This window comes from Homo sapiens, chromosome 1 (assembly GCF_000001405.40).
Source record: "Homo sapiens chromosome 1, GRCh38.p14 Primary Assembly".
In the NCBI taxonomy this organism is placed as follows: domain Eukaryota; kingdom Metazoa; phylum Chordata; class Mammalia; order Primates; family Hominidae; genus Homo; species Homo sapiens.
The window spans coordinates 143,369,685-143,395,395 of record NC_000001.11 but is presented as its reverse complement, the minus strand read 5'-3'; the positions used below and the strand labels follow the sequence as shown (position 1 = coordinate 143,395,395).

General features: G+C 46.3%; 1 long non-coding RNA gene and 1 pseudogene across 3 annotated transcripts in view; one reads left to right on the top strand and one right to left on the bottom strand.

Moving 5' to 3' along the window:
- The window catches only part of LOC107985200 (uncharacterized), a 42,281-nt gene extending 29,367 nt beyond the window's left edge, over positions 1-12,914 (top strand). Inside the window, exon 3 of one of the 3 annotated variants that reach the window (XR_001738207.2) lies at positions 12,528-12,914. This is a non-coding gene — a long non-coding RNA (uncharacterized LOC107985200). Of the gene's footprint in view, positions 1-1,709; positions 6,756-9,413; positions 10,973-12,527 lie in introns of those variants that run through there. The other 2 variants (XR_007066536.1, XR_007066535.1) reach the window with 2 other exon arrangements.
- Positions 8,107-25,711, bottom strand: part of LOC100996736 (proton channel OTOP1-like) — a 33,069-nt pseudogene continuing 15,464 nt past the window's right edge.

Here is a 25,711-nt window from a genome sequence, read left to right as displayed (position 1 = left end):
CAGGGTGGTGAAGTTAACTCAGAGCAGAGACCTGGCCTCGAAGCCTCGTCTCCCTGGGGAACAACCAATCAGCAGGAATCTGAACACAAGCACGAGAGGCAATCCGAGCCCTTCCCCAAAGCCTCACTCTTCATTCACTCTGGCTGGAATCCTGCCCTCCCTTCAGGGCCAAGCTTAGGGAACAAGGAGCAACCAGATCCTACCTCCAAGGACAGAGCCCTTACATATTTCTGCAATCTGTCTGCAGCTGATGGTCTGAATGAGCATCGTGTCATCACAGCACTTGTAAATTTTGGAGGGGCTCCTCCACACTGAGGGAATATGCTTGTTCAGGGAAGGGCACACTCCCCCATTTCTCCCGGAACCACACTTCTGCCGTGGGACCCTGAGAACACAAGGGCCCTCCCCTTGCCCTGTTGCTTCATGTGGCTTAGTCTTGCTTAACAAACATGCTAGGTGTGGAGGCTGAGGCCTACATGTAGTGTTGAGGGCAAGCAGGGACCGCCTGGAAATGCTGAAAGCATTCTCTTAAAGTGAGGCCTTCCCATCATGATTGCTAGGCCCATGATGAGAAGATATTGCAGGAAAGCACGACCTGGACCATAGAAAGGGCAGATCAATGTGTGGGCCTTTATGTGCTTATCCCTCCCACCACCCTGCTGCAGACCCCACCCACACTCAAGCTTAGCCCCTGTGGCTTGGAACCCAAGGACGCTTCTGAGCTGAGGCAGACTTCAGGGAGTACTAGTTAGGATAGGTCAGCTGCAAGTAACAAACAAACAAAATACGCAGCAAACTCTGGCCCTCAGGGCCAAATTCAGCCCACCATCTATTTTTATAAGTAAAGTTTTATTGGAACATAGGTGTACCCATTCATTTACACATTGTCTATGGTTGTTTTTAGGGTTGTAGTGCCAACAGAGATCTCATGGCCCACACAGAGCCTAAAATGTTTTCCATGTGGCCCTTTATGGAAAAAGTTCACCCACCCCTGGCTTGAACAATGACAACATTGAATTATCTGCCATCACAAGAACTCCAGAGGAAGGTGGCTCCAGGGTCACACGAAGGCTCAGCAAAGTCCTCGAGGCCCCAGGCTCCTGTTCCCTCCTTGGCAGGTTGGCCTTTCTTCTTGGGCTGGTTTCTTCATGGTCACAAGCCGGCTGCCACAGTTCCAGGCTTGACTGCCTCTCAGAAGCACATTCAGGCCAGGAGGAAGGGCAGGCTTCCTCCTCACCTCTTCTTATTTAGGGATCAAAAATCCCTCCAGGGCGGTGCAGCAGAGGTCCCTTACCTCTCAGTGTTTAGACCAGAGGTCAGTAAGCATTTCCTATAAAGGACCAGATAGTGAGTATTTTAGGCTTGTCAGGTCACATATGATCTCTGCAGCATATTCTGTGTGTGTGTGTGTGTGTGTGTGTGTGTGTGTGTGTGTGAGAGAGAGAGAGAGAGAGAGAGATGACCCTTTAAAAATGTACACTCCATTCTTCTCATGAGCCATAGTTTGTCAACGCCTGGTCTGGCACTCTTCACATGCCCTCTCCGTGCCCATCTCCAGCAAAGGATAGCGGGCTTACCCTTGCTATCAAAGGTGCTTGGCTTAGACCAATCACCCAAAACTGATGTTTCAGAGATGCCTGCTGGAGGAGTGTAGGCAGATATTACTGATGTCAGAAAAACAGTTTGAGCGCCACTTCCTTCTCTGGCAGGAAGGAGTGATTGGCTGCTGGTCCTGCCCTGTCCGAGGAGGAGGACGGAACCCACCCACCAAGCTGTGGAGAGGTGGACCCCACAAATCCCCTCGCAAGCCACGTCTGAGAGCGAGCAGAGGGAAGAAACTCAAGCGTTTGTAGTCCTCTTTCTTAACAACCAGGCTTAAAGCGCCATCTTGTGTCTTGAAGGCAGAAGGAGATCAGGATGTGTGTGCTAGAAGCAGGCAGAGGATCTTCACCAATGTCTCAAAAACTAGAGAAGGAAACATGGCGATCCTCAAGGCCCGCGGCGGCCCCAGCCCTTCCCGCACCCTGCGATAGTCTGGTGTTGGGAGGGTGGCCCACGTGTCCAAGCAACCACATCAGGGAGGTTCTGGGAGAGGAGAAGGCAAAGCTCATGCCCTCATGAGGCAGGCAGTCCCATCCAGGACTGGACTGGATGAGCACCAATAAATAAGAAAACACAGCTGGCAGCTGACTGTGAAGGGTCTGGACAGGGTGCCGAAGTGAAGCGTAATGAGCTGGATAGTGAGGACCTCACTACAGAGGGACATCTATCTACACACAGCCTGAAGGGTGAGAAAGATGGATCCTTGCCCTGAGCCAGAAGTGCACACCCCAGAGAGAGCAGCTCCTGCGGAGGTCCTGTGGGGCAGGCATGGTAGGAATATTAAAGAGAAGAAGCCAGGTGTGGCTGCAGCCATGCAGGAGGAAGGGCGATGGGGTTGGGGAGGCAGAGGATGGGACTGGCATGAGAAGATGGAGATGCAGAGCCCAGATCGTGATAGCCCCAATAGTCCACGGGTAGGAGTTTGTATTTTCTACTAAAAGCAATGGGAGGGCGGGGCGCGGTAGCTCATGCCTATAATTCCAGCACTTTGGGAGGCCGAGGCGGGTGGATCACCTGAGGTCAGGAGTTCGAGAACAGCCTGACCAACATGGTGAAACCCCATCTTTACTAAAAATACAAAAATTAGACAAGTGTTATGGCGCGCGCCTGTAATCCCAGCTACTCAGGAGGCTGAGGCAGGAGAATCGCTTGAACCCAGGAGGCGGAGGTTGCAGTGAGCTGAGATCATGCCATTGCACTCCAGCCTGGGTGACAAGAGCGAAACTCCGCCTCAAAAAAAGGGAGGGGGGGCAATGGGAAACCATTGAATCGTTTTTAGCAGGTGGCCTGATTTGATTTACATTTTTTAGACATGTAGCTTCACTATCATGGTTATGGTGGTCCGTGCATTACTAACATTGCTAAAACCACCATCATGCCAGAATTACCCTCCCATTTGTGGGTTAAAACACTGCACCCATCTGTCCCTCCCCAGAGTCCTCTTAGTGGCTGCTCTTAGGAGGAACTAACATGGACTACATTCCCCCATCACACCCAGCACAAGTGCCCTCCTAGCCTCCCCCACCCAACTCAGTCCCATTCACACGCGGCATGCCAGGGACTCTCCCATCAGGGGAACACCCTGTAACTCCCAAGTTCCTCCAAAGCCTCTTGAGAGGGACCATGGTGCCCTGCAGGGAGTGGGTCCTGGTGGGTCCAGTGGAGGGAACGTCCTTGCTGAAACTGGCTGGGTCTTAGCCGGGAAGTGGTGACAGGTATCTCTCACATACGCTACGGGAACCCAGCGCAGCCAATGGAGTCCAATCAGCACACCTTGCGCCCACCCCTTCGTTTGGTAACTTGAGGCCACTGCCCACCCGCCAGGTACCCTCTCTCAAGCGTGCCCTGAAGTTCAGGGAAAGACGCCAGCACCCCCTGCTGGTTGCGCTCTCCCATAGCAGGGCTCACATTTTGGGAGAAAGAAATCAGCTGTTAGCAGCTTTCGTTCTTCACCATGTTAAGCAAAGCACAACATTTTATAACTGGGTGAAAAGCCAGATATTCTGTCAGCTGATTTGATTGTTCTGTACGCATATCCCTAAGCCATTGTTTGACGGATATTTTTACTGAGTTGACTTTCTTCATAAGATGATAGGACTAATGAAGAGAAAAGGCAATGGAGTTTTTAAAACCAGCGTGATGAACCAAATGCTGCCACTGACTAGCTATGTACATGTAATCCAAAAGTTCCCTCCGTTGAAACAAAATAACAGTGCTTACCTAACCAGGTCAGCTGTGAGCTGGGACTTCACAGACAGGCATAGAGAGACATGGATGCAGGAAGGGCTTCCTTAGCTGAGAGGGTCGTGAAACTGGAAGGTAGTAGCAAGCATTTTCCAGTTGGATCTTTTGGCCGACATTTGTAGTGGGGAGACAAACATGTCTAATTTTCCCCCCACCCCGGCACATGGGCAGGTAGGAAGATGCTGGTGGGTTTGGTTCGACAGTTTGGAGAATGTCTTGTGGAAGGGGTGCTTTTTTTAATGCACACTCAGGCACCATGGGAGCCTGTTGTCACCCTGGATATCTAGCTCCATGCCCTTGCCCTTTCACTCTGCCTCGACAAGAGTCATGGCACCCAAAATACATGAGTTCAAATCTGAGTTTCACAGGCTCAGGGAGGAACCCAAGCTACCAAATGCACAGGCCCCTCCTGTATACGGTTACAGCAGGTAAGGGAGTAACTTACTCAGTGCAAGCTGCTGTAACAAAATAGCACAAGCTGGGTGGCTAATCAACAACAGGCATTTATTTCTCACAGGTCTGGAGGCTGGAAGCCCAAGATCAGGGTGCCAGTGCTGGCATGGTTGGGTTCTGGTGAGGGCCCTCTTCCAGGTCACAGACAGCTGTCTTCTCATTGCATCCTCACATGACAGAAAAGAAGTGCACAAGCTCTCTGGCCCCCTCTTACAGGCGCTAATCCCATTCACAACGGTCCTACCATCATGACCTCATTACCTCCCAAAGACCACACCTCCAAATACCACCACATTGCCATTAAGCTTCAACATATGAATTTAAGGGGGAAACAAACATCCAGTCCATTGCAGATTGTTCTGATAATATGTGTGCCCAGGGCATTGCCCCCACAGAAAAGAGCGACATTGGAAGGCAAACCAATGTCAGGTTTCCTAATGTGCACGGAGTCATCCCTGGAAGAGTGAGTCCGGTGATCTTACCAGCTAATTGCATTGAGCTACACCACCTTGGGGATCTACCTGCCAAGGAGAACAGAACACCACTGGCTTTGACACCCATCTCTCAACAATGATGGAAGAATGCTGGAAATTTACCTGCTCTGGTAGCTCTCTCTAAGTTCATCTTCCTTGTATGGACTTTCTTTTTTTATTGCTCTCAAATACTTGTATTATTAAATATCTCATTTAAAATTTCTTTAAAATACATTAAAAGTGCATTTAAAGAGTACATTTTAAGAGTGCAGATGAAAACATAATGAATACATCTTTGCTTAAGAAAAAATATTTCGGACACAGCATGAACTCAGTTGCTGGTTCCAAGCCCCTCCCCTTCTCACTACACTGAACTTGGCATGCATTCTTTCTTCAGGTGTGTTTGTAATCTTACTACATATGGACATATCCCCCAGCAATATCAGGGATTGTTTTGCTTGTTCCTAGACATCATATAAATGGTATCATACCAATTATACCCCTACACTACTTAATGTTTCATTCAACATTGTTTTGGGGGACTATCCATGTTGATACATGAATTCTGTTGTGTTCATTTTTTCCTCTTGTGAAATAGTCCATTATGGAAATTGTCCCTAGTGTGTCTATCTGCACTCCTAATTGACAGGCATTTAGGCTGTTTTCCATTTTCCTAATTACAATTATGCTGAGTGAACATTCCTGAACACAGGTGTGAGGTTGTCTCTGGAGCACATGCCAGGGAACAGAATTCTTAGGTCGTAAGGAATGTGTACCTCCAGCCTTAGTCAATATTGCCAATTGCTGTCCTATCTGATTTTATTCATTTACGCTCCCACTAGCAGTATATATGAGTCTTTCTTTCACTTCTTGCCAACTCTTGCCAATCTAATGAATGGGAAGTGGTAACTCATTATTATTTCAATTTGTATTCCCTGAGACCTTAACACTTGTGTATTGCACATTCTGGTTCCTCTTTGGCAAATTGCCTTGGCATTAAGATAGTAAATTTTCCTTGCCACCTACGCTGGTTGAGTCAGGATGCTTAATTACTTGGAGGTAAAAAGCACCTGGCTGAAATAGCCATCCCTGAGGCTGCCTGTTGAGGATAGGAGATGCTTCATCCATCTTTAGATCCTTTCTTGGAAACGCTGAGCCTGGCCAGCCATGCAGGCTTTTCCAAGCTCTGATGCTGCCCTGTGTCCACAATAGCATCCCCACAGCCTGGATCCATCATTCCCAGCATTATGATAGCTCCTTTGTCTCCTTGGAAGAGCCCAAAACCCACAGCTGAGGCCTCAGGGCTTTTCTAATGTGCTTAGAACAGGGGTAAAGGTAATGCCAACCAAAATGGGGAAACCTGTATTCCTGCTCAGTCACTGCTTAGTCAGCATAAATCACTCCAGAGGATAGTTTGTTACTGACCTCAAAGACTCAGTTACAAAGATGATCACCATAGCATTGTTTACAGTAGCACCAAAAAAAGGAACCACCTAAATATCTCTAAATGTCCAACATCACCGTTTGAAAAAATAAGGAATGGTACATCCTTCCATGGAATGTACCTTAAATCCACCCAAAATCATACTGCATATGGATATGCAATGTCAAGGAAACTTACTCGGGAGTCCTAGCTTGGGGTCCATGGACGTCCAAGGAGATGCTTATCAAAGGGAGTTGGCACCCCCTGAGATGCTCATGAAAGTGCAGACTTCCGGGCCCCCCTCCAGACTGAATCTGCACTTCCAGCTTGGAGGGCAGGAATCCTAACAAGTTCCCCAGATGAGTCTCAGGCACACTAAAGCCAGAGCATCGATGCCTGGGACCCAAAATAGGGAAGAAGCACTCTGGTGTATCAAGAGGAAAAAAGCAAGTTACATACAAACGCAGTATACATAAAAACACCGCCTTCATGTGGGTGTGGGTGTGGGTGTGGGTGTCGATGTATGCGTACTTTTGAAAAAAAAAAATATCGGCTGGGTGTGGTGGCCCACGTCTGTAATCCCAGCACTTTGGGAGGCCAAGGTGGGTGGATCACCTGAGGTCAGGGGTTCAAGGCCAGCCTGGCCAATATGATGAAACCCTGTCTGTACTAAAAATACAAAAATTAGCTGGGCGTGGTGGCAGGCATCTGTAATCCCAGTTACTCCAGAGGCTGAGGCAGGAGAATCGCTTGACCCCAGGAGGCGGCAGTTGCAGTGAGCCAAGATCATGCCATTGCACTCCAGCCTGGGTGACAAGAGTGAAAGTCTGTCTCAAAAAAATAAAAAAAACAAAATATATATATATATATATATATATATATATATATATATATATATAATTTTTTTAATTTTTATTTTTTAGAGACAGGGTCTTGCTGTGCCACCCAAGCTAGAATGCAGTGGCACAATCTTGTCTCACTACCCAATCTCAAACTCCTGGGCTCAAGTGATCCTCTCCACTCAGCCTCATGAGTAGCTGGGACTACAGGCATACTCCACCGCACCTGGGTTTTTTGTTTTGTGTTTTGTACAGACAGGGTCTCACTATGTTTGTGTTCCCTGGCTGGTCTTAAACTCTTGGCCTCAAGCGATCCTTCTGTGGCCTCCCAAAGTGTTGGGATTACAGGCGTGAGCCACCATGTCCAGCCTGTGTGTGTGTACTAATAGCTACCTAGATAACAATACTTAACAGCAATTACCTCTAGATTACCTCAGCACCATTGACAATCAGCCCGAAGACTTTGTGGTGGGGCTGTCCTGTGTGTTGTAGGGTGTTAGCAGTATCCCTGGGTGCAGTAGTGTAACAATCAAAAATGTGTTTGGTAGCACAAAAGTACAACTATAGTTAACAACAATTTATTGTATATTTTAGAGTAACTAACATAGTGAAATTAGAATGTTCCTAACACACAAAAAAGATACATACCTGAGGGTATGAATATCTGTCACCCTGATTTGATTATTATTTATTATATGTTTATATCAAAATATCACATGTACCCTGTAAGTATGTATAAATATTATGTATAATTTAGATTTATTTTAATTTTAATAAAAAATAAATATTAAAAAATGTCTTCAGATATTGCTAAATGTCCCCTCAAGGAACAAGGTCCCCAGTTGGAGAACCGATTCTCTAGATGGGACATGTATAGATGATGCTTTCCTTTGTTTTTTAGTATATATGCCTATTTTTTAGTTTTTTCTAAAATAAGTGTACTTTAGTCATGTTAAAAAAAAACTTTGTATTTATTACTGTCCCATTGCCTGCACTGTCTGAAAAAAAATACACTCAAATGAAAAGATACATTAATACTTACATTAAGAAAATTAATTTTATTATTATTTTAAAATAGCTGTGGAAAAGCTATACAAAGGCCTCCCAAATGTCAATATTCCTTAGGCACCTTTGAAATATTTCTAAACTTAATCTTTGGACTAGGCATCCTAATTGTAATTCCATATCTTAAAGAAGCAATTCTAAATATAGGAAATGCTTCACAAATATGGTTGATTTTTGCAGAGTTACCTATAAAAGCAAAAAGTTATAAACACTGTAAAACCAACCATAGGAAACTATGTTAATTAAGGTACATTCACTTGATAGACTATCATACAGCATTAAAATGATATTTATAAAGAACTTATAACAATATGGGGGCAAGGTTTATGCCATATTGTTAAGTAGGAAAATAACTGAATACAAAATCAAATATGTTACATCACCATTCAAAGGTATAATAATGACAATAAAAAGAATCTCATCAACATGGTCGGAAGAAATACACCAAGATATTAAAAGTAATTGTTAATTGAACAATGGCATCGTAGGTGACTTTTTCTCTCTACTTTTCTGAAATATCCAAATTTTTTACAATAAACATGTGTGTATTTACAGTGAAAGAGAGAACAGTGAAATTTCTTTTTAAAAATACTTGAAAATGATCACAAAAATGTGCCAACATTTCAGGTAAGAAATGTGTTTTTATATGGGTCTGTATACAAATTTCTATCCAGCTGATAAAAATAACTTCAAGAAATTAAACCTATTCAGAAACAATAGTGATTGTGTCTAAATTCATAGGCTTTGAGAAGGATAAATTTTTAAAGTATAAATTACTATGCAGGTGGTCAGGAAAAGGTTGTATGGAGTCACATGATAAATGACACAAAGAAAATGCTTTTTATGAAAAACAAACTGGATAGATTTTTTCCCAAGCCAGAATCACATTCTTCTAAATCATTTAGAAGGCAATAAAATAATTTGGGCTTGATTAGCATTTAACTAACCAAGGACAGATTCCAGCCACCTTATGGATTTTGATCTAACTTGTTTACATTCATCAGGGGTGATGGGCAGTTCCAGCCCACAGGAAGCACAATCTTTGCAGACAAAAGGTGGCCCTTCTCATGTTTGTCAGGCAATATTTGTCCAACCTGGCCATTCCCAGTTGGCTCCAATGAACTCTTGTTAGCTCACTCTTGTTAGTCACTTGTTAGTCTCTTGTGGACTTAGACTATATCTTACAATAGACCTCAAAGAGGGAGGCAGCTGCGTGCATTGCATAGAAAATAGAAAAAGCCATGGCCAGGTTGACCACAATTATCCAGGGTTCAAAGCCAAAGACAATCTCCTCCAATCCATTGTCATACTCAGGTCGACAGCCAAAAGCGGGAGGTATCCAAAGCTGCAAGAGAAGAGAAAATGGCCTGTGGTGGGGAGCAGCTTCCAAGCCACCACGGAGGCCCCACTCAAGTCCCAGGCCTCATGGGAGCTGACCCTGATGCACGGGGACTGAGTCACCCCTGACAGAACAATAAGGAGACCTCGTGGCATTTCCCATCTCCACAGAAACCACCAAATCCATGTCTGCCATGATCCTGCTCACTTCCTCACCCACCCTTCCCTGCAATCCATCCCTAATGAGCGCTCTTTGAACCCATCCAACTCTCTCCATCTCTACAGCCCTCGCCCAGCCTCAGTTTCCTCATTTGAAAGATGGGAATTCTAACACGTGTCTGAGAGGGCTTAGATGAGAATTAAGTTTGCAAAACTGAAAGCAGTGACTTTTGTTTGTGTTGCTCACAGAACGTACACACTGTTCCCTGCTTCTCAGGCTCTTCTCTGTCCCAGTTCTCTCCCTTTCTGCCACCCCTTGAGTTGTCAGGCTCCTCACTCCCGCTTCAGGCTGCACCCTTCTTCAGCTTCCTCCACTCCCTGGCTGTGGCAGGCAGCCTCTAGGATGACCCTCAATGATCCCCAGCTCCTGCAGTCACCCTCTTGTGGAGTCCCCACCCCTTTAGTGTGGGATGCACCTAATGACTCACTTCCAACTCACAAAATATGGCAAAAGACACAGGAAGTCACCTCTGAAATTAGGTTGCAAAAGGACCTGCTATCCCTCTTGCTCATCTTCTCCTGAAAGACAGGTGGCAGAGCTGCCATGCTGCGAAGCACCCTATGCGGCAAGGGGCCCAGGGAGTACCCCTGTCAACAGCCAGCAAGGAACTCAGACCCTCAGCCCAACAAGCCACAGCTGAATCCTGCCAACAGTCACATGAGTAGATTTGGAAACAAATCCTCTGCCACCTCTCAGAAAGTCAAGCCTTGAAATGAATGCAGCCCCAGCCAACAGTTTCAGCCTGGGAATGGCCCTGTGCAGAGATACTCAGCTAAAACTGTAGTTGGAGTCATAAGTCAGAGAAACTATGAAATCATAAATGTACATTGTTTTAAGTTGCTGAGTATTGGGGTGGTCTCTTCCATAGCAATAGGTAACTGAGACACATAGCCTTCATTTGTATCTCCATACAGAACACTCCCTGGTATATACAGCCGACCTCTGTATCCAGGGACCTGTGTCTGTGGATTGAACCAACCACAGATCAAAAATATTCAAAAAGTAGGCTGGGCACAGTGGTTCACACCTATAATCCCAGAACTTTGGGAGGCCGAGGCAGGTGGATCACCTGAGGTCAGGAGTTCAAGGCCAGCCTGGCCAACATGGTGAAACCCCATCTCTACTAAAAATACAAAAAATTAGCAAGGTGTAGTGGCATGTGCCTGTAATCCCAGCTACTCAGGGGGCTGAGGCAGGAGAATCCCTTGAACCCAGGAGGCGAAGCTTGCAGTAAGCCAAGATCATGCCGCTGCACTCCAGCCTGGGCAACAGTGAAGCTCGGTCTCAAAAAATAAAAATAAATTAATTAAAAAAATAAAATGGTTTGTTGTGTCTGTACTGAATAGGTACAAACTTTCTTCTTGTCATTATTCTCTAAACAATACAATGTAACAACTATTTACATAGCATTTAAATTGTATTAGGTATTCTAAGTAATTTAGAGATGTCTTAAAGTGTACGGGAGGATGGGTAGGTTACATGCAAGTATAGGACTTGAGCATCTGTGCATTTGGTATACACCACGGGGGCCCTGGAACCAAGACCCCTCTCTTCTGCTTTGCTTACTGGCTGCTGTGACTCTTAGGAGCTCTCCTACTTGTTCGGCGGGTCCCTCCCAGTCTCCTTTGCTGTTTCATCCTTTGCTCTGCCTCTTAATGTTAGCCAGCGTCCAGGGCTCATTCCTGGGTCCCTTTCTATTCTCTCTACACATGAACCCTGGGGCTCTCTCCCAGTCCCTGGTTGTAAATACCAGCTATAGGCCTATGACTTCCCAGTCTCAATCTCCAGCCTGGACCACTTCCAAGAACCCCAGACTCATAGTTTCCGGTGGCAACTTGGGTGTCTAAAACACATCTCAAACTCAACCCACCTTCCCCATTTCTCCATCTGCTCAGCTACATCGTCCTCCCAGGTGGTCCATCGAGGCTCCAGGTGTCAACCTTATCTCCCTCCTACTCTCATAACCATGCCCCCTCCCATCCAGTCCCTCAGCGCATCTCCACTGTGCACCTCCAAAGCAGTATCTTCAGCCCACCTGTGGCTCTCTCTCTCCACCTGTCCAGCCGGCCTCTCTCACCTGGACCATGGCGGTGGCCCCGTGCCTGGTCTCCCAGCTCGAACTAGGGTTCCACTCGGCCACCAGATTTACATTATATGGAAATCAGATCCTGTCCCTACCTTGATTAAACCCCTAAAGTCTTCCCAAAATATTTAAAATAAATTCTACACTCCCGCACGGAGTGATAAAGTGCTCTGTTAGCTGATTTCTAACCACCCACGCTTCTCTCCACTCACCCCACCCACATTGCAGGCAACCCTTCTTCCTGTTTCTCAAACCAGACCCGCTCACTCCCACTGGGGGTTTTATACCAGCCATTGTTCCCTCTGCCCTGAACATGCGTGGCCAACCCCTTCCTGTCTCGTGTCACCCTTCAGCGAGGCCTTCCCGCTAAGCTGGTCCATCTGATCTACAATGGCAGCCCAAGAGCTATTTCCCACACCCTCCTTTTCCACTTCTCTGCTTAACACGGGTACACTATAAGGTGTCTTTCTTGCTCAGTTGATGGTTTCACCTGCTGTTGCCTGGTTTGTAAGCCCCATAAGAGGAAGACCAGAGATCTTGGTCATTGCTGTACCCTCACCATTCATAGCAGTCCCTGTACCTCTGTAGGTACTTAAGGGACACCTTTTAAAGGAAGGGTGAGAGGAAGGGCAAGGGAGACAGGGAGGAAAAGGGAGAAGAAAGGAAGGCAGGAAAATGGGACCTCTTTTCTGAAATCCACATCTTTATATGTGCTGTTTAGTTGGCTGGAAATTCTTGTTACTTATCCTATTGAGAAGTGGCCTATGACCTCTTTCTTTGAATCTAGATGGACTCTGTGACTACATGACTAATAAAATATGGCAGAAATGACACCATGCAGTTTCCAAGCCCAGGCCTTAGGAGACAGGCAGCTTCCAGTTCAGTCTTTTGGAGGGTCAGCTCTGGGGCCCTCAGCCATCAAGCATGGAGTCCAACCACCCTGAGACGTCATGCTGGAGACCCACCTGTGGATGCCCCAGTCAAGAGTCCTGGCTGAGCCCAGCCTCCCAGCCACCCCCACCCAAGGCACCAGACCACGGAGCTTCTGGCCAAGGCTTCACCAACTTCACTTGATGCTGTGAGGAACAGAACTGCCCATCCAAGCCCTGCCAGAATTTCTAACCCACAAAGCCACGAGTCACAATAAATGCTATGGGACAAAAACAGTCATGCATGTTGCTTTTGTCATACATTAGTGGTAGTTCATTGCACGGCAATAGAAAACCAAAATATCTGTCTACTGGGTTCGTCCATTTGGATGCCACAGAGGCACCTGAAACAGAACACGTTCATTACTTAACTCTGGTTCTTCCTTCCACACTGACCTCCACCCACTGCTCCCAAGGTTGCCCCTCTTCCAGAGTCCTCCTCCATCTCCAACATAGTATCACCATCTCCCCAGGAACTCAAGTGTGAAGGCAGGGGTCATGTTTGGCGTCTGTCACCCTTTGCGAGTTGCAACCTGGAGACCCTGGAGGATGTTATGATGAGTGAAATAACCTAATCACAAAAGGACTAATACTCCATAAATTCACTTATATGAGGAGTCTAGGAGTCAAATTCCTAGAGACTGAAAGAACGGTGGTTGTCAGGGGCTGGGGAGAATGGGGAGTTCATATTTAATGGGGGCAGAGTTTCAGTTTTGCCAGACGAGAATAACCTGGAAATGGATGGTGTGATGTTTGCACAATGTGAACGTACTTTACTCCACTATACACTTGAAAGTGGGTGCAATGGGAAAGTTTATTTGATGAGTTTTTTACCACAATTAAAAATATAACAAAATAAGCATGAGTCAGATCCCGTCACTCTCAGTGTAGACCTTTCCATGGTTTTCTGTTGCATTTAGGATTGAGTCTTGGCTCGCAGGCCCTGTGTGGTCTCCCCTCTGCCCTCTGCTCTGTGCTCCCAGGTCATGTCCAGTGAGCCCTGCCTTGCCTTGCATCCGTCCCTTCCCCACACCTGCAGCTCTGCCCTGATAGTCTCTCATCCCAGCCCCATCCACACCCTTCCTTAGAAGAGGCCTTCCCTGACCCATCTCCCACAGCACCCTGCCCTTCCCGGTCACCACAACCACCCTCTGTTGTCTCCAGTGCCACGGCTCCTGGAAATTCAACTAACATTTCCATGTCCGTCTCTGGAGTGGAGCCCACTCCACCTGGACATGCACATCAGCACCTGCAGCTGGGGCCTCTGGACTGGCTCCCGATGCTGGAGAAGACAGCTCTTGCTCTCTGCCAGATGCCTTTGGCACCACCTGGGGTCAATCACAAGGTTTCAAAGTGCCACCCATGAGCCAGCACGGGTATCCTAAGACTCCACCCTGCGATGATTTCCATCCTCTGGTTCAACCCCCCAGAACCCAACCAGTGCCTGGGGGCATCATGGGCCAAGCACAGGGAGGAAGAGACGGAGCCCACCCTTCTCCTTGGACTGGGCCCTGGGTCTGGCTTTCGGGTCCTGACAGACCATGAATTGCCACTTGATTCTGGTATTTCGGACAGTGCTATCTTTCTTCAAGTGGGTCCAAAAATGCAAGCCAAGTATTTCACCCAGTGGTCAACCAAAAAGGCAACCAGGGAAAGATAACTTTTCAGAACTTAGTTTTAAAAAGAAATATTAGGTCAGAAGCAGTGGCTCGCGCCTGTAATCCCAGCATTTTAGGACGCCTAGGCAGGCAGATCACCTGAGGTCAGGAGTTCGAGACCACCCTGACCAACCTAGTGAAACCCTGTCTCTACTAAAAGTAGAAAAATTAGCTGGGCATGGTTGTTGCATGCCTGTAGTCCCACCTCCTCGGGAGGCTGAGGCAGGAGAATCACTTAAACCCAAGAGGCGGAGGTTGCAGTGAGCCGAGATCGCACCATTGCACTACAGCCTGGGCAACACAGCAGGACTCCATCTCAAAATATATGTATATTAATATTAATCACAGGATATGTACAAAAAGCATATACTTGAGGAAGATTCTAGAACTAGCTCTGACTTTATAAGAATTTGCATTTTGGAATATGCACCTCAAAAAAATGCAGCTTACAGTATCTATCTCTCTTGTTAACTCTTTCAATTTTTGACTCACTGCTGTGCCCCTGACATAGTCCCTGGCATACAGCAGGTGCCTGGCAAATGTCTGTTAGATGGAGAAGAGGGTCTCCCTGCAGCCAAACTCTTCTGGGCCTTCCACCTTCAGAGCCCCTCCTCACTGCCTAGCAAACTGAAGGAACCTGGGTGATCCAAGGCTAGGGTGGATCAGGTTTGCTTGGCAGACACACAGCCATTCTGACTTTAGACGGGACTTACTTTCCCAACTTTGTGTTCTTAGGGTGATATCAAAAGCTGCAGACCCCGTATGCACCATCTGAAATTCAGGGGAGGAAGCTCAAAAGCCTCTGAGCTGCTGGGGCAACAGGGAGCAGGCTTGATAACAGAGGCTAGTAGCACAGAGCTGACTTCACCCAGAGTGATGGGCAGGCACCTCTGTGGACTGGGGCACTCCCCTCCAGCCACCAGTCACCATCACTGCAGAGACTCATGCGGTGGCAAAGGCTGCTTCCCCCTCCTTCTTACTGACCCCCACCATCCTTCCTTTATGTGTCTTTAAAAAAATCCCAACAGCACACAATGCTTCTTATTCCTTTTTCTTCTCTCCATCCCTCCATCACTGCCCTAGTTCAAGCTCCTCCCCTTCCTGCCTGGGCTGTTGCAGGGCTTTCTCTCCCAGTCTTTCTGCTTCTGGCCCTATCTGTCTCCATCCTTGCTACACACAGCTACTGGGAGGATCATTCCAAAACACAAATCTGAGAGAGTCTTCCCTTGCCCTCAGCATAAAGACTAGACTCCAGCCAGGCCTAGGAAGCCCTGCTCAAGCCAGAGTCCACCTACCTGGGCCCTCTCTCCTATTTCCCATTCTGCTACTCTGCTTAACACACATGGAATTTATGCCAAACTACTTGGTGCTCTCAAAACATGCCATGGTGTCTTTTGCCTCTGTGTCTTCACATATTGTGTGTCTCTGCCTGAAATGCTTTTCCCCGCCTTGATAACCTGGTGAACTTCCAGTCATTCCTTGCTGATGCAGACAGATGGGTGAGTGACTGTACACCTTCCTCTCCCTTGCTACCTTCCATCAGAGAGGCTGGGAAGCAAACCCTCTACTTCCCCAGCCTCCCTTGCAGTGAGGGGTGCCCACATGAGAGACATTGTCTGGCACCAGCCCTTCCCCACTGCTTTCTGTCTTGAACCCAGATGTGATGCCTGGTGCAGCTGCAGCCATCTCATGACCATGTCACAACAAACACCACACCACCCAAGTGACAAGATGAACAGTGCCTGGATGCCTGATGACATGGTTCAGCTGCCAGGCCAACCCCAAGCAGCCAACCTCCGGAATTCTCATGAGATAATTAAACATTGTTAAGACTGAAGACACTGTGAATCAAATTGCCTGTCACTTGCAACTAAAAGCACTCCTGACTGACACTGGGCCTCACCTCAAGCACCCACTACTCACTGAAGTCCTTCTGGATCCCTGCTCCTAGTACACCTTGCACAAGCCCATCTCAGCACTTGTCCTGTTCACTATATTAGATTTGCTCATTGTCTCCCTCCCCCATTATACTGAGACCTTTTAGAGGAAAGAGACTGAGTCTTTCCACTTTAATCTTTAGTACCTAGCCCAGCCCCTAGCACACAGCAAGTCTTTAGTAGGTAGATTTGTAGAATATAGGTCTATTTTCCAGCCTTATATTGTAATTTTATACTTACAGTATTTTTATTACAAGCTGCCTCCATTCCTTATTTTAAAAAGGCAAGAGAAACCTAGATGTCCATCAATAATGGACTGGATAAAGAAAATGTATTATGGCCGGGTACAGTGGTTCACATCTGTAATACTAGCACTTTAGGAAGCTGAGGCAGGAGGATTGTTTGAGCGCAGGAGTTCAAGACAAGCCTGGGCAGCACAGTGAGAACCTATCTCTACAAAAAAAAAAAAAAAAAAAAAAGTTTTGGCCAGGCATGGTGGCTCACACCTGTAATCCTAGCATTTTGGGAGGTCAAGGTAGGTGGATCACTTGAGGTCAGGAGTCCGAAACCAGCCTGGCCAACATGGTGAAACCCCCATCTCTACTAAAAATATTTTCAAAAATTAGCCAACTGTGGTGGCAGGTGCCTGTAATCCCAGCTATTCTGGAGGCTGAGGCAAGAGAATCACTTCAACTCGGGAGGCAGAGGTTGCAGTGAGCACCATCGCACTGTAGCCTAGGCAACAAGAGTGAAACTCTCTCTCAAAAACAAAAAAAGTTTTTAAAATTAACCAGGTGTGGTGGCACATGCCTGTGGTCCCAGGTACTCAGGAGGCTGAGATGGGAGGATTGCTTGAGCACAGGAGGTCGAAGCTGCAGTGAGCTGTGATCATGCCACTGCACTCCAGCCTGGGCAATGGGGCGTGACCCTCTCTCAAAAAAAAAAATAAATAGAAAATGTGGTAGCTCTACACCATGGAATATTATGCAGCCTTAAAAAAAGAATGAAATCACATTATTTGCAGCAACCTGGATAGAAATGGAGTCCTTATCCTAAGTGAATTAACACAGGAACAGAAAACCAAATACCTCATGTCCTCTCTTATAAGTGGGAGCTAAACATTGGGTAGTCATGAACACAAATATATGAACAATAGACACTACTAGGGACTACTGGGGGAGAGGTCGGAAGTGGGGTGCAGGGTGAAAAACTACCTATCGGGTACTATGCTCATTACCTGGGTGACGGGATCATTTGTGCACCAAACCTCAGCGACACGCAATTTACCCATGTAACAAATCTGCATGCGTACCCCTTGAACCTAAAATGAAAGTTTACAGCAAAATTAAAAGAATAAGAATAACTTGGTGCAGATTACCAAAGTATTGCAGAGGAACAAGAAGGCTGCAATATTCCTCAGGACTTTTCTCTTGGCGTTGCCCTGTAAGAAACGAGGAAGGTGGACTGGGCTTGGGTTCCCTCCCCAGCTGCTCTCCTCGTGCTTCTCCTCCTTGTCACAGCTTTCTCTCAGGCACACATTTCCATTGGCTGCTGGTGGCATGTCCCTGCCCCAGGGAGCCACGTCTCCGGCCACACCTCCACTCTTGAGGCAGGAGGAAGCAAGGGGCATGGTGTTGCCATTGCAGACTGTGACCATCCGAAGGGTTCGGATGTCCTCAGAGAGTTTTTTAGGCTCTCGGTGAATGGATTCAAAGATGAAGAGGTTCTGGATGTACTTCTCCACGATCACCACGATGGAGTAGGGCAGGTTGTACCAGGTGTAGTGGGGGTGGTCCTCGGCACAAAGGATGGCCAAGATTGAGCCCCAGGAGATAAGCCAGGAGCCTGAGGCAGTGCCCACCAAGAGGTCCGAGTCCAGTTTGCGGGGCGGATTTTTGGACTCATCCAGTGACTTCTCATCTGTCCTGTAAATCCGGATTCCAGCCAGCCCCGCAGCCCCCATAAGCTTCATCAGGGTGATGACATACAGGTAGAACGTGATGAGTGCTGACTTGCTCTTGGTCTTGGAGCACCCAATATGAATCAGGTACACCACCCACCACCACGGCAATGGTGGCGGCCAGCGCGGTCAGGCCCAGGACTGTGCCCACTCTGACCCCATCAGGCTTGAACTGCATCTTCTGGTGCTGATGGCTGTCAACTTTGCGCCCGATGTTCTTCCATAGGACGTAGAGCACTGTGGAGGCCAGGATCTGATACTCTATGTTGAAGGGGTAGAGGTAGTAGATATAGTAGATCCCGTGGGAGATGGTGGTGCAGAGAGTTGGGGGCGTGCAGTTACATTGCGGTGTGTGGTCATCTAAAACTAGGGGAGACAGGTTGATCACACAGGGGGGCTATTAGCAGGTGCAAGGGGAAGCAGAAAAGCACAGAAAACTGTTTCCACTGTGGATTCAGGCTTGGGTCTTCCCACTGGATTACAAGCTTTTTCATGTCATGGCTTATTATCACGTTTAATATCATGGCTAATTTGATAGCCCTGAGTATCCCCAAAGCATATTCATTACCTAAATCACATTTATTTGGTGAGTTGCCAAAGAGGATAGAGAAGATGACTCTATTGTTGTAAAAAATAGATATGTAGATGATAGATAGATAGATGGATACACACACACACAGACAGATGGAAAAAACCTGGAAGGACACAAACTAAAATGTCAACAATTGTTATCTCTGGGTGGAAAAATGACAGATGATTTTTAATCTCTTCTAGATTTTGCTTCCCTGTATTTTCTAAATTTTCTCTGTGAAGATGATTTACATGTGTGATTTTTTAAGATTATTTTTAAAAAATACTTTCTGGAGAAAATACCCCTTTTAATTAGCAAAAGATATGCCTCTTAAGACTCCAGTGCTAGCAAGCATGCAGGAGACAGGTGCTCTCCGATATCAGTGCGGGGAAAGTAAACGGGCACCACCTTCTGGAAGAGAAGCTGGCTGTCATATGGAGGGCCCTCTCATCACAGGAAGGCAGATGCTGCAAGTAAATGACGAAACAGGTCACCAAAGCCCTGAAGGCGATGCAGTCTCTGACCCATAATTCCATTCTTTCCATTCTACCCTTCTACTCAAAGGGACAAATAAAAAAATGTAATCAAAGAGTCAGGTAAGGCCAGGAGTGGTGACTCAGCCCTGTAATCCCAGCACTTTGGGAGGCCAAGGCAGGTGGATCACTTGAGGTCGGGAGTTCGAGACCAGCCTGGCCAACATGGCGAAACCTCATCTCTATTAAAACTACAAAAATTAGCCAGGTGTGGTGGCAAGCCTGTAATACCAGCTACTGGGGAGGCTGAGGCAGAAGAATCGCTTGAACCTGGGAGGCAGAAGTTGCAGTCAGCTGAGATCACACCACTGCACTCCAGCCTAGGTGACAGAGCGAGACTCAGTCTCAAAAAATAATTTAAAAAAAAGTCAGGTAAAATTGTGTGTGTGTGTGTGTGTGTGTGTGTGTGAGAGAGAGAGAGAGAGAGAGAGAGAGAGGAACAGCTCAAGGTCCAACAACTTAGAAATTGTTAAGTAAATTTTAGTATATCCCAACAATGAGATAGTAGACAGCCACTGCACGTTATAATTAAGATGTGCTTTATGGTTTTGGGTATGGGGGGGGTTGTTTTGTTTTTTGTTTGTTTTGAGACAGAGCCTCCTTCTGTTGCCCAGGCTGGAGTGCTGTGGCACAATCTTGGCTCACTGCAACATCAGCCTTCTGTGCTCAAGCATCCTCCTACTTCAGCCTGCTGAGTAGCTGGGACCACAGGCCCATGCCACCACTCCCGGCTAATTTTTATATTTTTTGTAGAGACAACGTTCCGCCATGTTGGCTAGGCTGGTCTTGAACTCCTGAGCTCATGCGATCTGCCCGCCTCAGCCTCCCGAAGTTCTGGGATTAAAGGCATGAGCCACTGCACCCAGCCAGGATGTGTTTTAATATTAAGAAAGTAATCTCGTTTCAAGGAAAATGGAAAAAAGTAAGAACAAACTGTATATTTCTTTAATGCAAGTCACAACCCAGTACAAGGCTGTAAAATCAGGTAGCAACCAACTTTTTTGTAGCAGAAATAATTTTCAGTGGACTAGAATAGGATAGAATGGAGTGGAATCAACTCCGATAAAATTTGGAAGCATCTCTGATACAGTAAAATTAAGTATTATTTCATCAAGCATACACACATAAGTATGTGCGTGTTTGGATTACAGTGTAAAATCTGTCTCTTATTGAAGGTTGCAATAAAAAAAGATCAAATATATAGTATAAAATCAACTATAAATAAATGGCACACTACAAAAAAATAACCAAACATTCACAGCATTTACTGCATTTCTGGGTAAGTGTTGTGGATTTTTTTGCTTCACACTTTGTCATTGTTTTAGTTTATGATATGTGTATATTACTTATAAAATCTGAGAAAAGCAGCTGGGTGTGGTGGCTCATGCCTGTAATCCCAGCACTTTGGAGGGCCGAGGCAGGTAGATCACAAGGTCAGGAGATTGAGACCATCCTGGCTAACACGGTGAAACCCTGTCTCTACTAAAAATACAAAAAATTAGCCAGGCGTGGTGGTGGGCGCCTGTAGTCCCAGCTACTCAGGAGGCTGAGGCAGGAGAATAGTGTGACCCCCGGGAGGCAGAGCTTGCAATGATCCGAGACCATGCCACTGCACTCCAGCCTGGGCGACAAGCAAGACTCCGTCTAAAAAAAAAAAATCTGAGAAAAACTATATCGTAGCATTAATTTTACTTTCACAGAACACTATGAAATTTTCTTTTTTTTTTTTTATTCTTTTTTATATAGGGTCTCCCTCTGTTGCCCAGGCTGGAGTGCAGTGGCACAAACACAGCTCACTGCAGCCTTGACTTCCTGGGCTCAAGTGATCCTCCTGCGTCAGTCTCCCATGTAGCTATAGCTGGGACCACGAGCCCATGCCACCATGCCTGGCTTTTTTTTTTTTTTTTTTTTCCAGAGCTGGGGTCTCCCTTTGTTGCCCAGGCTGGTCTCAAATTCCTAGGCTAAAGCAATGCTCCTGCCTTAGGATTACAAAGTGCTCAGATTACAGGTGTGAGTCACTGCCCCAGTAATAATCTTCAATTCACACAGGGCTTCCCTAGCACTTACAATTCAATACGGTGTTATGCAGAAGACAAGGGAAGAAATCAGGAGGAAAAGTTCAGAGTAACAGAATGTTACAGCTGACAGAGTCCTTTTTTAGAAAATTAATCCAACCTCATCTTTCACAGAGGGCCTTGAAGCCAGATTGTTAGGATTCAAATCATGGCTGTATCACATGTTCACTGTGTTACCCTGGGCTAACTTCTCCGTGGCTTGATGCCTTCATCCATATAATGAGGTTAATATTGTCTACCTGAGGCCAGGCGCAGTGGCTCACGCCTGTAATCCCAACAGTTTGGGAGGCCAAGGCTGGCGGATCACAAGGCCAGGAGTTCGAGACCAGCCTGGCCAACATAGTGAAACCCCGTCTCTATTAAAAATACAAAAATTAGCCAGGTATGGTGGCATGCACCTGTAGTCCCAGCTACTCAGGAAGCTGAGGCAGGAGAATCACTTGAACATGGGAGGCAGAGGTTGCAGTGAGCCGAGATCACGCTACTGTACTCCAGCTTAGGCGACAGAGTGAGACTCTGTCTCAAAACAAACAAACAACTATATATATATATATATATATATATATGTATATATATATATATACACACACACACATACACACATATATAGCCTACCAGAGAGTGTGGGGGTACAAATTAAATGACATGTGTAAATTTCCAACAACAGTGGCTGGCACTCAGCAAATGCTTAATAAAAATTTACTTTTGTTATTGTGGTCATTGCTGCTACTAATATTGATACCAAGGAGGACATGAGGCCCAAACACCGAGTGCCTGCTGGTTGGGGGTGGTGACTTCGTTGTCTCCACCCCACTGATGACAAAACAGGTTCAAAGTGGCTCTCCAGGACAGCCTGGGTTCACACAGCTGTCACAGACTTGCTGCATGTTAAAGCTGGAAGGGATCTTTGCAAGTGCATGATTTGGATACCCTCACTTTACAAATGAGAAAAGGGAGGCTCAGAGAGATTAAATGTCTTCTAAAGGTCACACAGCTTGTACATGATGGGAACAAACCTGAGACACCCAGTTCCCTGCCCCACATTCCCCTCAGCCTGAATGTTCTCATATAGAAGTGACATATTGTAAATGCTAAAGGATTTTAGATGAAAATATAAAGATTAACCCAACAGGCTCTCAAATAGGAACAAGGTAGAACAGACATGAGCTAGAATTATAAGCCAACTACAGTTAAATTAAAACTTTAAATGAACCACAGCCTATTAACCACAACCTACCATTAGACTTTTATGAATTTTTAAAAGCCATACTTTTACTAGAAAGAACTGGTAGTAGAGGTTTAATTAAAAACACAAGCAGAGGCAACCATCAATCTTCTGTAGTTGAAAACAAAGACATTTATTTCTGCGGCAAACTGGACCATGAGAAATGGCCATCAGAATGATCACCGTGGGTCTTACAAGTCCCTGAGTCATGGAAGAAACCTTTAATTATGCTCAGTACACATCACTTATGAGAGATTCAGGTTTTGGAAGATTTTCAACAACAGGGGGCTGTCTGGCTGATGCTGACTTTGGTGGGCCTGAAGTTCTTTGGAACCTGCACTCCATCTCTGAACACTGTGGACTCTGCAGGTTTCCAAGACATTCCAACATGGCAGAGGGGCCACTCACCTCTCTCAGCACTCACCTGTTGTTATGTTCCCAAAGCCCAGAGTGATGAGCCATTCCTTGTGCTCATTGGTGCTTTGACTCATTGAGGATGCCGTTGGCCCACAGAAGCAGGTTGGTGAACACCAAGTGGATCACCCCAAACCTGAAAAACACAAGGACTCAGTTCTCAAGCAGCCCTGGGAGAGCCTCAGGCACCATAGGGTGAGACAGACATGTGCACACAAATACACGGCTCCTTCTCAGCCATGATTCTGGCTACATCATGGATGACCCTTGAGAACGTTATGCTGTGAGAAATAAGCCAGACACAAGAAGACCAATACTGTATGGTTCAATTCATACGAGGCATCTAGAATATTCAAACTCATAAAGACAGAAAGTAGAACAGAGTTTGCCAAAAGCCAGAGGAGGAGGAAATAGAGAGTTGTGTAGTGGGCTCAGAGTTTCAGTTTTGCAAGATGAAAAACGTTTGCAGATTGGTTGTACAACAAGTGAATGTACTTAACATTAATGAACCATACGCTTAAAATGACTAAGATGGTAAATGTTATGTGATTGTCAACCTGAAAAAAAAAGACACTAGAGAAAATTATCACTAAATATGTTGGATTTACTTGGAAATAGGAATTACAGTCCAGAATGCATGGAATGGCAAGCCACCAGCGCATTCGGTGAGGGAAGGGTAAGGAGGAGCTGTTATTAGCAAAGAGAGATTTACATAATCCACAGAGAAAAAGAGTTCATCGGTTCTAGAGGCTCAAAGCCAGAGTTGTCATCAGTTCATTGGTGGAGATGCCAGTGCTGGACAAGTGTTCTTCCAAGAGCATCTTATCTGCTTTACTGCAGTCCTAAAGAATGTCTAGTAATGTCCAACCTCTTCAAAGCAGGAGATGCATGAAGGGTTTTTAGAAAGTCTTTGGAAACACTTTGTATCTCAGACACGTAGACAGAAGTGCCCTCTCCTTAGCGCCTTCCCAGGCCTATTTTGCCTGGGTCTGACAAAAGCGATTTCATCCTGATATCTACAGGTTTTTCAGTATTTGCCACAATTTTAAAATAAATGCTCTGTTTTTTAGAACAGCGCCTAATTGTTATATATACTTTTTTCCATTCGCCAGTCATCTAATGTAGCAAAAGCACATGGTAAGTGTCCAACAGGTATAGAATGATTAATTCATTGACTTGCCTGGCCAATAAAATGCCTTAAATTAGAAAGCTAGGATCTCCAACCCACCAACTAAGAGGGATATTTTGAAAATTCATATCTGTCCCAGTCATTCTTCTGCCTAAAGCCTTCAGTGGCTCCCCACTGCCCTCGAGGTGAAGCCCAAGCCCCTAGGTGGCGGTCAGCCTTGACCAAGAATTTGCTGCACACCTAGCCCTGTGCCAAGTGCTTTTCATACACATGTGCCTTTAATCTCTACAACGAGCCCATGAAGTAGGTACTGTGATTGTCCTCACCTTGCAAGTAAGACCCATGAGGCCCAGAGAAGTTAAGTAATTTGCCTGAAGTCACACAGCTGTGGTCAGAGCCAGAGTCATGCAATCTGACCAGAGTGCAAGCTTACAAGCCCTACAACAAACAGGGATCCAGCCTGTGCCCACACATCCTCCCGCTACCCCACTGTGAGGAAAGACTGCATGTCCCAAAGACACCCTCTTCCAGTGGCCTCTGACCCACTAACCCTGTGCTCCTCCCTCTCTCACAAACGGTTCTGGGACCTTCCCTGGCAGAAATTGACTGTCACTCCAAGCTGCCAAAATGCCCTCCTTTGTGCTCCCTCATTGCTCTGGGACACTCTGGTCAAAGCACTGAGCCCAGCGTTGTCACTGTTTTGGGGACTGCCTCTCACCTAACTGACACCCCCATGGTGTGTGACACAGACTTTACAGCCTTGTATTCCCCATGCTGAGAACAATGTTCGTCCAGTATTTAAAGATGAACTACAAGAAAAATGAATGAACGAATGCAGTTCGTTCTGGCCTCACGAAAGCTTTCCACATTGTCACTGTATCACTATAAGGCTCTGTCTTCACGGGATTTGGCTCCCCTGGAATGAGCAGCCAGTTATCTTTGATCAGCTTGGGCTGCCATAACAAAGGACCACAGATCATCAACTTCAATAACAGGAATTTCTCTTCTCAGGGTCCTGGGGTTAGAAATCCAAGATCAAGGTATGGGCAGGGTTGGTTCCTTTTGAGGCCTCTCTCTTTGGCTTGTAGATGGTCAATTTCCTCCAGTGTCTTTACATGGCTGTCTCTCTGTGTGTGTCTGTGTCCTTCTCTCCTCTTGTTATAAAGACACCAGGGCCAGGCGCGGTGCCTCACGCCTGTAATCCCAATACTTTGGGAGGCCGAGGCAGGTGGATTGCCTGAGGTCAGGAGTTCGAGACCAGCCTGGCCAACATGGTGAAACCTCATCTCTACTAAAAATACAAAAGTTAGCTGGGCATGGTGGCAGGTGCCTGTAACCCGAGCTACTTGGGAGACTGAGGCAGGAGAATTGCTTGAACCCAGGAGACGGAAGTTGCAGTGAGCCGAGATTATGCCATTGCACTGCAGCCTGGGCAACAAGCAAAATTCCGTCTCAAAAACATAAAAAATAAAGACACTAGGCATATTGAATTTGGGCCAGCCTAATGATCTTATTTAACCTCAATCTCCTCTAAACGACC